This window comes from Homo sapiens, chromosome 7, assembly GCF_000001405.40.
Source record: "Homo sapiens chromosome 7, GRCh38.p14 Primary Assembly".
Taxonomy (NCBI): Eukaryota; Metazoa; Chordata; class Mammalia; order Primates; family Hominidae; genus Homo; species Homo sapiens.
In genome coordinates this window covers 148,128,930-148,147,014 of record NC_000007.14, presented here as the reverse complement: position 1 = coordinate 148,147,014, position 18,085 = coordinate 148,128,930, and the positions used below count along the sequence as shown (strand labels likewise).

At 41.2% G+C, this 18,085-nt stretch overlaps 1 protein-coding gene across 1 annotated transcript in view; it reads right to left on the bottom strand.

Moving 5' to 3' along the window:
* The window catches only part of CNTNAP2 (contactin associated protein 2), a 2,304,198-nt gene that overhangs the window by 273,984 nt on the left and 2,012,129 nt on the right, over window positions 1–18,085 (bottom strand). The window lies entirely within an intron of this gene.

The window sequence follows — 18,085 nt, the reverse complement described above, 5'->3', positions numbered from 1 at the left end:
TGTGTCCAGAGATTTGGACTCAGTTGGTCAAGAGTTGGCACTGGTATTTTAAAAAAACTCCCCAGGAAATGTTAACACATAGCTAGAGTTGAGAGCTACTGCTTTGGGGGAATTTATGAAACTTGATTTCATTGATCTTTATACTCTTTTGAAAGTTGGGGACCCTTGAATTGTTGGTGTAATGAGGGTAACCTATTGTTGGTGTAATGACGGTGACCTATTGTTGGTGTAATGAGGGTAACCTATTGTTGGTGTAATGAGGGTGACCTATTGTTGGTGTAATGAGGGTGACCTACATTTTATGACCACCTGTGCCTACCTGAAAGGTAGCACAACATTTCTGGAGAATAATCCCTGTCGTACATCGTCTGTTGCAAACCTTGGTTATTCCCCATCTGGGTTGTAGGCTCCTTCTCATAACCTACCCTCTAGCACTGACCACAAATTCTTTTTTTTAGAGATCACCTCCAAATCAACCTTCCTCTGCAATTAGTCACCTCTCAACAATTGGCAAATGGATTGGGTGGTTGCTTTATTAACTTTAGCTATAAGTAGCTTTCTAATTTCACATTTTATATTTTATGTTAAGTTCCTCAGTGACCACCTAGTGCTTTATAAACAAGCTTTTTAAATGTATATTTTTTCTTGTGATTGACAGGAGAGGCAGCCTCAGGCTGAAGCAGCACACACGTCTTCAGCTCCCTTAGGCTGGGTGAATTCTTCTCAACATTAAAGATGTGGCACACCAGTGCCTAACTTTGCTTATAAAGATATTCAGCCCCTCTGTCCATCAATAAGCTTTCCACCTAATCTCTAAGCAGTTTAATTAAATATCTGTCATTTTTTTTTCCTGGGCTAATGGAAAATTCAGCTTCTTTTGGCTGGTACCATTTTAAGACGATGTCACAAGCAATCAAACTTCTAATTTAGAAACCATGGTGGGCCAGATTCTCTCAGGACCTAGACTGTTCCCTGCCTCTGTGTTGGGCCCCTTGGAAAGCTGCATTAACTTTATTGAGCTACAGGGATATTAGACACAGAGCTCAATTTAATCAACCTAATTGTACCAAGGAATTTTGATCCTTCATGTCGTTAGCGAGAGAACTTTCATTTCAACACCTGTGGTCATTGGACACACACTTCAGAAAAATATCTCATCTAAATTAGAAGCCCCTGCCTCCAGGGGTCATTGGGACTGGATTGAACTTGCAGGCCAGTGACCTCCATCAAGGTTTCCATGGAAGTATGATCAGAATGCAGGAAGATGATAATATGACCCACAGGCTGTGTGATCTTTCTCTGTAGTTCTGATACAGCAGATGAGGAAAAAGTAGCCTTGGTTTCAGATTAAATCTGTTCTGTTCTCATAACACTGTATTTTAGCAGGAGCATTTTTTAAATGTAAGTTGTCAGAACAGCAAGAGAACGAGGGTTCCTGGGCTAAGTAGGAAAGATTGTTTCATTTTAAAGGCATCAACTGCCATCAAGGAAATAGAATTTAGGGATAAATTGAGTTTAACCCTAAGGTTTGACTCGTAGGGATAAATGCTGTTCTAATTTCCTCTGTGATTCTCCTACTGCTATGATGAATTCGTGTCCAGGTCTTCAAACTGTCACTACTTGGAAAAACTCTGAGTGCCAGAAGTCGCTAGAAAATATCTATACTTTTTGCTTGTCCCAATAGATCCCCTATTTCTTCACCGTCACCTTAACATCAATATTTTATTCTGGAGAAGGGAAGAAAGTTGCCAGGACGATGCCGTAGCTCAGAGCCTCTCACCCTAATGGGATACAGTAAGAGGGACTCAAGGCCAAAGGACCCCACGAGCAACTTTCTTCCCAAACAGCCTCCATTCAGGCTCTGCTGGAGAAATATTTATGAAGTCAGCACATTCCACACCCCTTCCGTTGCTTCCTCAGGAAGGATCTGAAAGACCCACTGTGAGAGCCAAGGAAAGGGCTCTTTTTTCTCAGCCACTCAATGTCAGCTTCCCTGACATTGCTGCGGGAAGCCTTTGAGAAATCCCATCCCCCAGTCAGACAGCCAGTGTGTTTTAAAAGCTTCTAAGTTCAGTTTGTGGCTGATTGCTCTTGGTCTTCTGGGTGAGAGCAACTGACATTTTAAAAGAGATAATTATAGAGAGAGTGAGCGAATAAAAGGGAGACAGCATAAAAGACACTTGAGCCAATGACACTGTCCTCGCTTAATGTGTGTCTCCAGTTGGAGACTGAAGTGTTGCCCTGTTTCTGCCTGTGAAAAAGGAATTTCTTATATACCGAACAAATTCTCATTTCCAGAAATAAGTATTTGAGAATTGGATGCATATAGCCTGGCTCATTGGAAAGAACACTGTGCCAAACATGAATGGTTGCCTTTCCATGAGTATCAAGAACTGGGAAGGGTCTGAGACTTTACCCCACTTGCAGGCTAACAAGTTAGCCATGGTTTGATGATGCTGGCAGAACCATAGTTTAACATGGCCACAGTCTGATGATGCTGGCAGAAGACATGAAACTCCTGGGTCAGAGACAAAGGACTTCTTTACTCACAACACAGCAGGCAGCCTGAGCTTCCCGTTCACATTGCTTTCCCTTGCAGGGGAATGCAGGGCATCCCAGGTGGATGCTGCACATGCAATAAGTTTGCTTCACAGCTGAGGGACCCTGGACTTAGGAAACCCCAATCTTTTTACAGTAGCTACTAGCAAACTTGCTCAATTTCTGCCCCGGAGAGTGACATTATATTTCTTACTCTGGCCATGAAATAAATCTACCCTCTGTCCCAGAGGAAGACACTATCTGTATCTTCCAAGGCTGTTAGCTATACACACATCCTTAAAAAAGGTATAAACAAAGCTGTCAATGCTTCTTGCTCAGAAGGCAGGCAAAAGTGGAAGAGACCCATGGAGATTTTTCTCCCAATAATTAGTCACTTTCCCTTTTTTCTTTGTGAGCTAACCGGATTTTGCCCTGGAATCTCTGTGTTTCCAGAGTCTTGCACTTTGCATAAGGACAGCCCTACCCAAGGCCCACAGGATGGATCTGGATTTAATGAAGGCAAAGATGGCAATTCCAGGCTCCTTGCCAGCTACCCACTTTGGATGAGACACATAATTCCCTTCTAGCCAATGAAACATGAGTGGAGTCTTTTGGTGAGTTATAAGGAAAAGACAGTCCCTTTTCTGCCCCTTAATATTGGGTGGGAAGCTGTGGTTCTTAATGTTGCTGGAGCTGCCTCACAAATGTCAGAGATACAGAGGACAGAGAGGACAGAGGATGAGCCTGGGTCATGGCTGACATTGTTCAACTTTTAAAAATTCTTTATTTGTATTTTTTGAGACAGGGTCTTGTTCTGTCACCCAGGCTGCAGTGTGGCAGTGTGATCATAGCTGACTGCAGCCTTGACCTCCTGGGCTCAGATGATTCTCCCACCTCAGCCTCTCAAGTAGCTGAGACTACAGGAGTACACCACCACACCTAGATAATTTTTGTATTTTTTGTAGAGATGGGGTTTTGCCATGTTGCCCAGGCTCATCTCGAAATCGTGGGCTCAAGCTATCCACCCATCTCAGACTCCCAGTGTGCTAGGATTACAGGCATGAGCCACCACACCTGGTCTACTCAACTTTTAAATTAATCCCAGAGCCATCTACCTTAGGATTTCTTATGTGAGATATGCTGTTATGTTATTGCTCAAGCCATTTTTATTGTAACTGAAAGCATCTTAACTGATATAGAGCCTCAGCTGTTTGGTCTTTTCACTTTTCACGCTTCAGGCCTCAGTTTGAGGTCCAAAGTGAGGATTATATCCATAGTTTCCCAAAAGTTCCTGTGTCCAAAATGTGTTTGAAACTACGGAGAACCTCTAAGGTTCTTTCAAATGGCAACATTCTATAATTTTTCAAGAGATTCTAAGAGAAATAAAATGAAATACAGCTGGTCTTAATGGTAATTTTAGATACTGAATCATTACAGGGAGAAAAGAGAAATACTAAAAGAGAAATACATAAGGTGGCATATTGCCATCAGAAAAGAATATAGGTGGAAGAAATTACTTTCTAATAAAGCAGGCTCATGACTTCATCTGAAAGGCTTAAAGTAATGATTGGGACAAAACCATGGAGAGCTCTTGGCATGTTCACGCTTCCCCTTCCAAGTGTAATTCCAGCAGGTGGCACTATTTGCTCTCATTCTAACTCAACAAATCACTCCAAGCTTAGTATATTGAGCGATAAATTTAACAACTGACCAATACCAGGTGTTTTTGGCTCTAAGTTTTCTCAGCAGGTGAGGGAGCATTTAGATATTAGACCACAGTTTCAGTTGAAGTAGCAGAAAAAATTTGGCCATTCAGTACAGAACAGGATAAGAGAAAAGAGAAGGAAAGTTATATAGCATGAGCATGATGGGCAGACCAGCTAACACTGTTTAGTTTTGGTAATGATACGTTTTTTCCATTCTAAAATAAGGTTCGAGGGGTGGCAGCTTCCTGGGGGATCTTCTGTACAATAAATCTCATTTGAGTCATACAACAAAACTGGTAATTGGTAGAACAGATATTTCAGCCTCACTCTATGGTGAACAGTGTTATCAATATCTTTTTTTGTTTCCTGTATTTTTTTTCTGAATGAAGTACTAACTGTACATCAGAAGATAAAAGGATTTATTTAACACGAAAGGGTCATGAGAAGAGGCAGGAAGGCTGAAAATAAGGTCGCCATGGGAATCAGAGAGATAAGGAGAAAGAAGTAAAGAGTTCATCTATGTTCCTAATTCAAGGCCAACTGCTGCACCTATACACGGGATGCCATCCTTCCTACCAGCTCAAGGACACCACTCTGACAATTCTCCCCTCCCTCTACAACTGGGTTGTTATACAAACACACACACACACACACACACACACACACACACACACACAGAGACATATCTCTACTCTTAACAACCACTGGCACTATAAAACCTTTCTTTTGACCTTATCTATCCCAAAAGTTACCATTTCATTTCTATGCACCCTTTTGTTTCCAAATTCCTTGAAAGAGATGTCTGTACTCCCCATATCTATTTCCACTCCTCTTAGTCTTCCTCTAATTCCACCACATAGGACTTTCTCCTTCACAACATTTGAAACTGCTCCTGCCCCAGGGCCTTAGAACTTGCTGTTCACTTTACCCAAATAACTCTGTGGCTGAGCGTTTACTTCTCTGCTCACAAGTCATCATATTAGAAACTCCATCCCTAAACATTCTATGTTAAATAACAAACTTCGCTCTCAGCTGTCCTTTCCCCTTTAATCCTGATTTTTAAAAAGTCTGCATAGCATGTATCACTATCTGGAATAATATATATGTGGTCCTGGCCTCAGGAAGGCAGAGGCATTTTCTGTTTTGTTCATTGTTCTCTCCTCAGCACTGAGAACATTGCCTGCCACACAGTAGATACCAATTTGTGAATGAATGAAAGGATGAATAGAAACTACTCCTGCCTAGGAAGGCAACAGTGATCACATGGATACTCTGAAAAGAGAAATCCACTCATTTTCCCAAGGCCAGCCGAACTAGATGGAGTTCCATCTTGTATTCCACAAGCATCTTTCCCAAGAGCACAAAGTAACTCAATGAATATTTTCTCAGTCTAAGAGCATGCTACATTAGTTATGTCTGTTTAAAACAAATGTAGCTAAACGTTATTTTCAAACATATGATGTTTGAGGACTAATGGCTTGCCCAAGATAAACTCACCAGTGGAATAAGAAGCAGAATTTTCTCCCTTTGCTTTATTGCATGCTAGTTTCACTCTACTTGTAGGAACAGGGACCTTGGATCTTAATTACAATTCTCAAGTTTTGGCCTACATAAAAAACTGCTAAAGGAAAATGCTTAAAATGCATATTCCAATGCTTCTGTTACAGAGAATCTGATTCAGTAGGTTTGGGGTGGGGCTTTGGAGTCTGCATTTTGTTAATGCCAGGTGATTCTGACGCAAGTGGTCCTGGAATCTTACTTTAAGAAACATTAGGAGTTTCAGGTTTCCTTCTAGTAGTAAGTCCTAGGAATCTTTGCTTTCTTGTCCTCAACAGAGAGATTTTCAGAACTGTGTAATAGAGAATTTAGCCTTGCCCTCAAGAGGTCTGGCCCTTGCCTTTGGCTTTGGGAAGGTAATATCTAAGCCCTTGGGATGTCCTGCCTGGTAAGCATGTCTTCATTTGCCTGGGAGCCTTGGGTTATTCCAGATAGTCTAACATTGTGTTTTAGGGGTAGGGCCACACCAGATGGCATTTAAGATGGGGCCTGGGCTGGGTGTGGTGGCTCATGCCTGTAATCCCAGCACTTTGGGATGCTGAGGCGGGTGGATCACCTGAGGTCAGGAGTTCGAGACCAGCCTGACCAACATGGAGAAATGCCATCCCTATTAAAAATACAAAATTAGCTGGGCGTGGTGGCAGATGCCTGTAATCTGGCTACTTGGGAGGCTGAGGCAAGAGAATCACATGAACCTGGGAGGTGGAGGTTGTGGTGAGCCGAGATGGTGCCATTGCACACTCCAGCCTGGGCAACAAGAGCGAAACTCTGTCTCAAAAAAAAAAAAAAAAAGAAAAAGAAAAAAGATGGGGCCTTACCATGCCAGATTGACCAACAATGTGATGAAGGGTGTGGGGCTTTGGCTTATATTCTCCAGCCTTCTGAGGGGCTGGAAACTGAGGTCAGCCATGTGGGCAATCAATCATTCCTATATAACGGAGTCTCAGTAAAGACTCTGAACATGGAGGCTCAGGAAGCTTCCCTCATTGGCAATACCCCATGCAAATTGTTACACACCCGTTCCAGGAAAGAAATGTGCTCCTGAATCTATATAGAGAGGTTGACTGTAAACTCAGCATCTGGTACTGTTCCTGGACTCTGCCATCTGTGCTTCTACCCCTGTCTGATTTTCACGTGCATTCTTCACCCATAATGCAGCATGAGTATAGCAGCCTTCGGCAGCAGAATTCAGTGAATTCTGTGAGTCCTTCTACAGAACTATCAAACCTGGGGGTGGTTTGGGGAACTTCTGAACTTGCAATTGGTGTCAGAAGCATATGCAGTCTTATGGGGAATGTGGTCTCTCTAAATTTGCAACTGGTTGTAACTCCACAAAAACAGAAACAATCACATCAGCTTAGAAGTATGTGATTGAGGCTGAGCACGATGGCTCATGCCTGTAATCCCAGCACTTTGGGAGGCCGAGGCGGGTGGCTTATGAGGTCAGGAGTTTGAGACCAGCCTGGCCAACATAGTGAAACCCCATCTCTACTAGAAATACAAAAAATTAGCTGGGCATGATAGAGGGTGCCTGTAATCCCAGCTACTCGGGAGGCTGAGGCAGGAGAATCACTTGACCCAGGAGGCGGAGGTTGCAGTGAGCCAGAGGTTGCAGTGAGCCGAGATCACGCCACTGCACTCCAGACCAGGCAACAGTGTGAGACTCTGTCTCAAAAAAAAGAAGTATGTGATTGAATCCAATAATGTTAAGACCTAAAAGCTTCAGTGAATAGACTTCGACCCCTGAGCCCACCCTCACTGATTAGTCAGGAAACTGAGGCTGAGAGACACTAAAATCCAGTAATGACTAGATATAGAGCTTTAGTTTTCCTAACTACTGTATTGCCTGTCATATTATGAAGGAAATAAAAAATGACCTATTTTTCTTTTAGTATAGTTTTAGTTTCTGAATGTAGAGATTTTTAGAGTCATATATGCATATTCACACCAGAAAACTTGGTGTTAAACACATCTGAAAATGAACATTGGCAAGAAAAATTTATTTGAAGTCTTCTGGAAATTCTTCAAGGAAATGCCTGGAGCTTAGGAATCAATGTTACGAACTCATTTTAAAATCTCTGGTATCTCGATAACCTCTTGAGTATAAGAAGTATTTCTCTTTATGTATTTTGGCCTTTAAGCTTTTTATTATGGTTAAAAAATAACTTCACAAACAAAGACATCCACAGAGAAAAGGAAGCAAAAGGGAGATACCATTGGCCATACAAAAACAGAAAGCTGTCTTTAAAATGCAAAGCTCTTCTAATTTTAGTTTTTCTATGCATTTAACCACCTTTTGAGAATAACTCCTTGAATATTAATAGGCCTATATGATTTAAAAAGAAAGAAGGCAAAAATAGTTCCAAAATGATATGTGGCTGGCAACAATCCCCTGTACCCCATGTAGGACTTGCAGTTGGGTTTTAAATACCCTCTTGTTTGGAAAGAGCACAGCTGTTCATTGGGCAGACAGTACCCATTTTGGAAGAATAGATAAAGGTCCCAGATGGTTACTCTGGGGATAGAGTGTTGTAATAAAGGGAAACCCAGAAGCTGCTTTAGAGAAACTCTGAAACTCATACCTAAGGATCCCCTAGAGATGAAGAGGAGAGCAGATTGAGGAGGGGATGGACTTCAAAGAAGTGTTTCTTCCGACCATATTCAGGTTGTGCGGCAAAATGAGAAAACTCATTTAAGGAAATGTGCTTTGGTAGAAGACTAGGGGTGATTTATTAAGTTGGTTTGAGGTGATGTCAGAGAGAGCCAGTTCATCAAAATACATGGCTTTGGAGAGTGCAAGGAGAAAGGAGAATTTGGCATCCAAAGGAGGTAATAAAACTGCAGGTTGAAACAACATGAATTGGGGGAAAAGCTGACAAGTTTCAACACAGACCAAGCTGAAGCTTACAAGGAGACAGCATACAAGTCAATTAATTGTGCCTTCTAAATAACTGTGCTATGCATGGCTATCTTGATAGGGACACTGATAATGAGGAAAAGCCAAAGATGAACTCTGAGGATGAAAGGCTATGGCTTTGGAAGGAGCATGCTTGCTAGTGAGAGCTTTAGATAAGTCTATCAGAAGGAAAGCAGCCAAGGGGACGTCTGTTTTCTGGTTTCTGTGGACTGACTTGTGACTCTGCCGATAGGTTGTATCACAGGTAGTATTTTTCTCTCTCTGTTTTGCCACAAATTGTTTCCTTTCTATCAAATCCTTTCAGTGTCACCTTGATATGACTTCAGAGAAGATCTCTGTAATGAAAATTAAAAAGTGCCAAATGAGGACATATATACTACATGCTATAGGCTCAGAGTATAAAAAGAGATTGATTCTGTTTTCCATTACAACAACAGATTCTCTTCAACTACAGTGCATTTGCAGTATTGGACAAATAGTGGAGAAAAAAGTAAAATTATGCTGCAGATCAACAGAGACTTTAAATGGGAATGGAGAGACATTAGAGAGGAAAGGAGAACCTTCCTTCCTTCCTTCCTTCCTTCCTTCCTTCCTTCCTTCCTTCCTTCCTTCCTTCCTTCCTTCCTTTTTTTTCTGAGATAGACTTTTGCTCTGTTGCCCAGGCTGGAGTGCAATGGTGTGATCTCAGCTCACTGCAACCTCCACCTCCCAGGTTTAAATTATTCTCCTGCCTCAACCTCCCGAGTGGCTGGGACCGCAGGCACGCGCCACCACATCTGGCTAATTCTTTTGTATTTTTAGTAGAGATGGGGTTTTGCCATGTTGGCCAGGCTGGTCTCGAACTCCTGAACTCAGGTGATCCACCCGCCTCAGCCTCCCAAAGTGCTGGGATTACAGGCGTGAGCCACTGTGCCCAACTGAATCATTTTCTATATAGCAAGCTTTCTTAAAGTGTGAAAGACTTCTATAAAAGTGCCTTTTGCCTTAGAATCGTCACAAGAGATGCATAACCAATTTAAATTATTTTATTAGTTTTTCTGAAGCTATGCTTAACTTGATCTTTATCGTCTACTTAGTAATGAATATTAGAAATGAGGAAACTAAGGGTTGAACATTAAAAATATAGAATCTCAGAATCTCAGGTTTGAAAGTATCCCAGGATAAGTGCTCCTTTAAAGTTGTAGAAGAGTTAGTAGACCCTTGAGTTCATATGTTTCCATGTATGAAAAATGACAGAAATCACTTCACAGCATCCCTTATGGTTGTGTCAGCCAACTTCTACTTAAGAAAAGCATTCCTCTGGAAATGGATATTGTTAAACAATAATACCAATTTTTCACAGAGTACGCTTCCTTTGTTTTGGATAACAGCTGAAAATATAACTTTCTTGTATAGATTGCATAAAACATTTTTGCCTCCCTAAAGACTGCGCATATAAAATACGTGAGAACCCTTTTAGGACTAGTTTGTACAATGTTCAAACAAGTACATTTACTTTTGTTACGATTTAGTGAACTAATGGAACATGATTTTTCTGTAGAGTAGCTCCATCGAGAGAACAGTTGCAGGTGGGGTTAAACTCATCTCCAGCCTCCATCCTGGGATGGTTTGACATACTCTCAACAAAGAGAATGAATGGAAACAGCTTTGGGGATAGGGTCATCGGTTAGCAGTACTATCCAGCTGTTCTAGTCCATTTTGCCTTGCTATAAAGAAATACTTAGGGCTGGGTAATTTATAAAGAAAAGAGGTTTATTTGACTCTTGGCTCTGCAGGCTATATGAGCATAGTGCTGGCATCGACTTCTAGAGAGGGCCTCAGAAGCTTATGCTCATGACGGAAGGTGAAGGAACAGCAGCACATCACATGGCAAGAGAGGAAGCGAGAGAGAGGAGGAGGAGGTGCCAAGCTCTTTAAAACAACCAGATCTCATATGAACTCATTACCATGGGAAGAGCACCAAGCCATTCATGAAGGATCCGCCCCCATGACCCAAATACTGTCCACTAGGTTCCCACCTCCAACATCGGGAGTCACACTTCAACATGAAATTTGGAGGGACAAATATCCAAACCATGTGACCTGCTGAGCCCATCTTTGCTTGGATTTCCCAATGTGGTTTCCTTGTTTGTTTATTTCTTTCCTTCCTTCTTTCCTTCCTCCCTCCCTCCCTTCCCTCCCTTCCTCCCTCCGTTCCCTCCATTCCTTCCACCTCCCCCTCCCTCTCCCTTCCCCTCCCTTCCCTTCCCCTCCCTCCCTCCCTCCCTCCCTCCCTCCCTTCCTTCCTTCCTTCCTTCCTTCCTTCCTTCCTTCCTTCCTTCCTCCCTCTCTTCCCAATGTGGTTTGTTTCCTTCCTTCCTCCTTCCAGTGTGGTTTCCTTGTTTCCTCCCTCCCTCCCTCCTTCCTTCCCCATCCCTCCCTTCCCCCCCTCCCCTCCCCTCTGCTCTCTTCTCTTCTTCTCACTCAGCCACCCAGGCTGGAGTGCAGTGGCACTATCTTGGCTCACTGCAACCTCCCCCTCCCAGGTTCAAACTATTCTCCTGCCTCAGCCTCCCGAGTAGCTGGGATTACACGCACCTGCCACCACACCCAGCTATTTTTTCAATTTTTAGTGGAGACAGGGTTTTGCCATGTTGACCAGGTTTTTCTGGAGCTCCTGACCTCAGGTGATCCACCTGCCTCGGCCTCTCAAAGTGCTGGGATTACAGGCATGAGCCACCGCACCCGGCCTGTCTTCCACTTTCATCATTTGAGCTGCCCTGCAGCTTGAGGCTGTGATATGTGAGTATGTGATAAAAAGCAATCGCATATCACATACTTAAAATAGATAGTATGCTATCATATGTTATGATTGGGAATGAGCAACCAGAAGCCAGTGGATCAGAATGTGTGGAAATTTATCTTTCAAAAGTTAAGCCCAACAGCAAGGGACTGTGGGTTAAATGGAATGCTTGGCAGTTGAGGCACTGTATTTCACAATCTTTCAAAATCTGTGCTCCCATTTGTTGACATAGTAATCTAATCATGCCCCATGTAGGAGGCTAATGGTAATATAACAAACCTCAGAAGATCCCAGATAAACATCCGACCAGCCAATTGGAAATTTCTATGCTTTATATTCTGTAGGTTATATTACCAAAACAATAGCTATTTTTGGGTTTTCTTTCTAAATATAAAATTATAAGTTTTCAAACTACACATGCCCTCTTGGAGATTCTGGTATGGTCCTTGTTCTCAGTTGAAAAAAAAATATTGTTATGGAGTCTTAAGAAAAATGACATGAAAATGTGTTCTTAAAATATTATTACATAAAAAAGTAGGTTACAAAACAGTATGTACCCTATGATCTCATTTTTGTAAAAAAAAAGTATATATAAATGCATAGAAAAATGTTTAGAAATATAGACACCAAAATGATAATTTAAATATATTGGAATATGGGATTATAGCTGAATTTTTGTTTTGTCCTTTTTGCTGCTCTGAATTTTTAAATCATTCAACGATAAACAATACTTGCATAATTTTAAAGTTACAATCTGATAATTTCCACTTTCTCTGGCAAAGATTGGTGACTTTATAAGCAACTCTATTCTGTAACTTTAACAACTATTTAATCAGAAAGTTCAGTTTATCAAAATAAGATATTATTTTATTGTATACGATTTTATTTAAATACAGAAAATTAGAGGGCATTTAAAACTAGACTGAAATATTCCTCATTTCTTCCCTATTTTTAGAAACTTGAGAAGATTTTTTTAAAAAACAGAGTGGTCAAACTTTACCATAAAATAATTTTGAACAAGATATAAGTTCTTTTTTCCTGTTAAAAATGGCTAAAAACAAGGGCATGCTATTTTTCAAAGTAAAATCCTCACAGGTCTGAAATGCCAGCATGTTCTGATGTTTAAACTAATGTATACAGGAACCGGAATGCAGGATGAGCATAATTCAGTGTTATAATTACACTTGACAGATATACACTGCTTCTATTATTCACTGGCTCTGGTTACACTTACCCAGAAAGACTCTGTAGAATACTAAATATCAACCACTCTTCATAAAAAGTCAGTTGGCATTCGCATCAGTTCTCATCAGAGGAATCAAACTCAGAGATGCAGAAAACCAAATTTGATCATTTTAACACCATCCGCAAAGGCAAGCAAAATGACTAATTTCCGACAAGGCCTGAGGTTCAGCCAGATTTCATTTGTCAAACTCTTAACAGATAGGCGGTGGGTCATTTCTCTAGAGAGAGGTATCTTTGAAGTGGTCCTTGGGCTTCGGCTTTATTCCTTTCAATTGCTTCTATGTTGCACGGTCTTCCTCCCCCACCTGCATTTGCCTATGCTGTTTTCTCTCCAGAAAAATGCCCTTATCTCATTTTTGCCTGTCATCCTTCAATGCAAATCAAATGCTGCATCTCCTGGAAACTTACCTTGGTGTCTTTAAAGTTTACTCCTTTTTGGTGTCATAGTACCTGTAAAAGAGACCACTAACCATTCACAGAAGGTTTCTTTCCCCTTTTCATCATCACTCCCGCAAAGCTGCTACCCAGCCAGTAACTGCCTTCCTGGTCCCTGTGCATCCAGGTGGAGACATGTGACTAGCTCTTACCAAAGGGAGGAGGGCAAGGAATGTGTTCACGCTGGTTCAGTGTGGTCAAGAAGAGAGAATGCTTCTCTATCCTCCCTTTCTCTCTTTGCCAGCTAGACTTCCCGGGCTCTAGACGATGGTGGAGCCACAGAGAAAAGGAGTCTGAACCTCTAAATCACTGTGTGGAAGGTCTTCATGGACCAGAGCATAGCATGCATATTATTATTATTATTACTTTATTTGAGACAGATTCTCATTCTGTCACCCAGGCTGGAGTGCAGTGGCGCGATCTCAGCTTACTGCAACCTCCACCTCCCAGGTTCAAGCGATTCTCCTGCCTCAGCCTCCTGAGTAGTTGGGGTTACAGGCGCACGCCACCATGCCCAGCTAATTTTTGTATTTTTAGTAGAGGCAGGGTTTCACCGTGTTGGCCAGGCTGGTCTAGATCTCGTGGCCTCAGGCTATCTGCCTGCCTCGGCCTTCCAAAGTACTGGACTACAGGCGTGAGCCACCGTGACCGACCATAGCATGCATATCAGACTGTCATATGGCTGCAGAAACCTAGGGTTTTACTGGGTAGAGCAGCTTATCTTATTTTTAAAGAAGATTACATAATGTTCCTAACTCTCTTATGACCTTATCACATTTTTTTCATTTATTCGTATGATTAAAAAAATGGACAAGAGGATGTTCATCAGGGATGAAGGGATAATTGTGGTGTAATGGTTTTACTCTATTTTCAATACCCAACTGTGTCAGATCATTGTAATATTAAAAAAATATAGGCCGTAATATATTTGAATGAATTAGGGGGATTCTCTAATTCATAGAAGTTTCAGAGTGGAGAGAAGTGGCTGGAAGCCACGTGGGAGCCCTTTAAACAAATGCTCCTATGAATGTTGGAGATGTTCCCTTTACTAACCCACCAAAATGAGGCTCCCAACAAAAGGAGAGGCAGGACCGTGATTTGACTATCAAAAAGGCAAATAAAAACTTTCCCTGTGGAGAAGTTTGTCATGCTCAAGCTTGACCTTCAGAAATACAAGAAACAATTCTTTTTGTTCTTCAACATTTCTATTCTACATCTCATGGCCTCCAGAAGCCAGGACCCAGATCTCAGCCTGTCCTGTGTACCTTGAATCAACACTCAACTACAGCAACAGCAGAGCTCTTTACGGTTAGCTATGGAATGTGAGTGCTATATACAATGCGGTGTCTACATTAAAATACATTTCAGGTTCTGAACAACTAGATCAGAAACTTCTAGAGCACAATCCCCTTAAAAATTGAGAAGTACCTAAACTAAAAAAAAAAAAAAAATTAAAAAATTAAAGGTAAAACAGCAATACAAAAGAAATAGAAACATCTTTTTAAAGAAGATATATTTTTACTGTGACCACACTCCCGTATAAGATTTCATGTAAGTCTTTACGTTTCCCCATTTCTCCTCAAGGTTCCTACTTGATTGCTATTAAAAATTGTCTTGTAATTTCAGTAAAATGCATCTTGAGAACGATAACTTCCTGAAAATTTTCATTTATAACAAACTGTTTTTATTTCTTGTTGCTTTAAAACATGTTTTAAAATTTTTATAGATTGAGGGGATACAAGTACAAATTAACAAACTTTGTATAAATTTTCCAGTTGACATCCAGTTGGCCAGTATTTTCTTTCATGGTTTTGATTTCAGTGTTTGATAGCTTATAGAAACCTAGCACTTGTTTTACTTATAGTTGTCTTTGGCCTTTTGAGACAATCTTTGGTTCTGAGCTTTTTCAAGTAATCTATCCCAGTCCCTCACTATATTTAAATGAAGCTCTACTCCCTGATTTATTGTATCTACTTTTTTTTTTTAAAGCCAGCTTTGAATTAATTGGTCCCAAGTGTCATCCCTAGTTGAATCAATTCTCCAGCATTAGCAACACACACTGACTGACTGTTAACTCTTTTCTTGAAGCACTTGTTTTTATAAAAATATCAAGCCTATGGAGATACTGTTAGCTCCTAGAATGGCAGATGGAAAGTCTCTAACCTTATTATAATTTAAATTTTTCATATATATTTCTGCTTTTCTCATAAATCCATGTGTTCATTATCCAGCAATAATAGCATATCTTTCTTCCGTCTGTCTCAGAATGTGTGAATTCAAACTTCTTTGATTTCTTCTCTTAGAGGGTCTGTTGTCTTACAGATGGTCATAGGCAGGCCAATTCTAGTTGTTGGTCTTTTTGACACTTTAACAGGCCATCTTTTAGAAGGGAAAGGTTTCATGAACTACCACATAGAGTAAATAATATGGAAAGTGTTGGCAGGGCGTGGTGGCTTATGCCTGTAATCCCAGCACTTTGGTAGGTCAAGGCAGGCAGATCACAAGGTCAGGAGTTTGAGACCATCCTGGCCAACACAGTGAAAACCTGTCTCTACTAAAAATACAAAAATTAGCGAGGCGTGGTGGCGTGAGCCTGTGGTCCCAGCTACTCGGGAGGCCAAGGCAGGAGAATTGCTTGAACCCGGGAGGCGGAGGTTGTGGTGAGCTGCTGAGATTGCACCACTGCACTCTGGCCTGGGCAACAGAGAGAGACTCTGTCTCAAAAAAAAAAAAAAAAAAAAAAAAAAGAAGAAGAAAAGAGAAAAGAAAACGTTAGAATCCAAGAGAGTGAGATAGAAGAAAAATTACATCAAAAAATTTTAATGAAACTTCAGTATGTCTTTGGAGTAATGATAAACTACTCCATTCAGACAAATGCTATGTGAAGATGCTGACTAATGAGGATTCCTGCTACTTTCCAGGCAATGCACCTAATGAATTGTCTTGTAAAAATTTTGGTATTTTTGGGGAAATGAAGTCTTCTGTCTTATTTTTTATATTATAAATCAAGATGCAAAATGATAAAAAAAATTTTGTGTGGGCAGGATTTCAATGAAGGGGAAGCAATTCCGGAACAGGCAGACACATAGTCAGTCTTAGGAAACTGTAGTGGTGTCCAGGGAATATCAGTAGCTGGACATAGCTGAGGCTGTGGCACATGGTGCTGGTGGGTGAGGGGCAAAGCTTGTATGGAGTAGGGGAAAAAAACTTGAAAATTAAGTTAGGCCGTAAATCACTTACCAAGCTTGGGATTGTACTTTGTCTTATAAGGCACAGGGGGAATCATGGTGGTCTGTAAGGAAAGGAGTAACTGGACCAGATCTGTAGAAATTTGGCCTCACTAGGGAGGGTGGTTATCAGGATAGAGGGACTGGAGTGAGGGAGTCAAATTATGAGCCTGTCTGAATCCAGAATCCAGGGATTTCAACTAGCAAAGCCATCCTGGGAGGTAGAGACATTTGGTATGATTTCATTATGTTCACATCTATGTTCCAGCTGCCTTTTATGACTAGTAGGAATTGATGCTTTCTGTGGCATTGTTCTGGTATGATGGCTTACAGGAAGAATAGCATTTCTTTATATTAAAAATGCAGTGTTCTATCAAGATAAAACAGTCTATCCCCTATGGGGAGGTTAGTAAAACTTTAAATAGGACATTGAGTTTTCTAATTTGAATAATGAAGAAGATGGCCATGACATTAACTAAGTGGGAGCACAGAAGGGGGCTTTTGAGTGAAAATGATGGATTTCAGTTTCGATATGTTGAGCTTGAGGTATCGTGGGCCATTCTGATGGCTCCTTAGTTAGCATTTACAATTAGGTGGCAATAATGTTAGGAGATCTCCTGACTACGTTTGGTGAAAGCATATATGCTGACTGGAATTACTGGAAGCAGATGTGTTTTATTGTGGCACATCCCTCCCCCCATCATCCTTAGGAGAACTGAGAACCCTGGCATGAAAAGTTAAGGTGCTGCTTGGCTGTGAGTTCACTTAGGTTGGGAGGTGGTAAGCCACACTGGATGGCTGATGGTCTCCGGCAGGTTTGCCGAATTGTTCATGGTAGACGAGACCTTAAATACCATCTTGTTCAACCTTCTTGTTTTACAAGTGGATATGATAAAGTCTGGAGAGGTTCAAGGACTGGTCTCTGGTCAGTCAGCTTAGAATCCTGGTCTCTCTAAGTGTAGTTGAAAAATTGAGTGATTTATTAACTTTTTTGTCATTCAAGATTTTCTCAGAGCAGAGTTTTTCTCTTTTTCTACTTTTCCATTCAGCTGTAATTTATACACGGTAAAATGTGCATATCTTAATGCACAGCTGGATACATTTTTACATATGCAATCATTCCTTGCATTAAGATAAAGACTATTTCTACCACCCAGAAAGTTCCTTTGCACCCCCTCCTAGTTGACATCAGCTATCCCCAGGAATAGTTACTCTTCTGGCTTCTCTGCAGTAATCGATGTGGATTACTTAGGTTATTTTCGAGCATCGCATGAAAGAAATCAGGACATACCGTCATGTATGTACAATGTAATGTCTTTGAGGAAATCCTGCCTCTGATGTTTACTTTCTTTTTATTGTCCTAAAATGCCCGTGACTATGTAAATAAGCTGGAGTTTAATAGGGAGAGTCTAAGGACACCAGATCTCTAGTGAGGTCTTGGGGAGCCTGTGTCCTGGACTTCAGCTGGTTTCCAAAGCAGAAGTTGAGCCCCAGCCGAGGGACAAGCCATCTCTTTGGGTGTGACTGGAAGTAGCCTGCCCTTGGTTACTTGGAATCCAGGATGTGGGCCCAAGGCAAAGGAATTATTACCAAGAAGGCAGTTGTATCTTCAAATGGAAGATCCTTCCTGGTACCAGGAAGGTACCCTCCACGATGGGGAGGAAAGGCGATGTGGAGA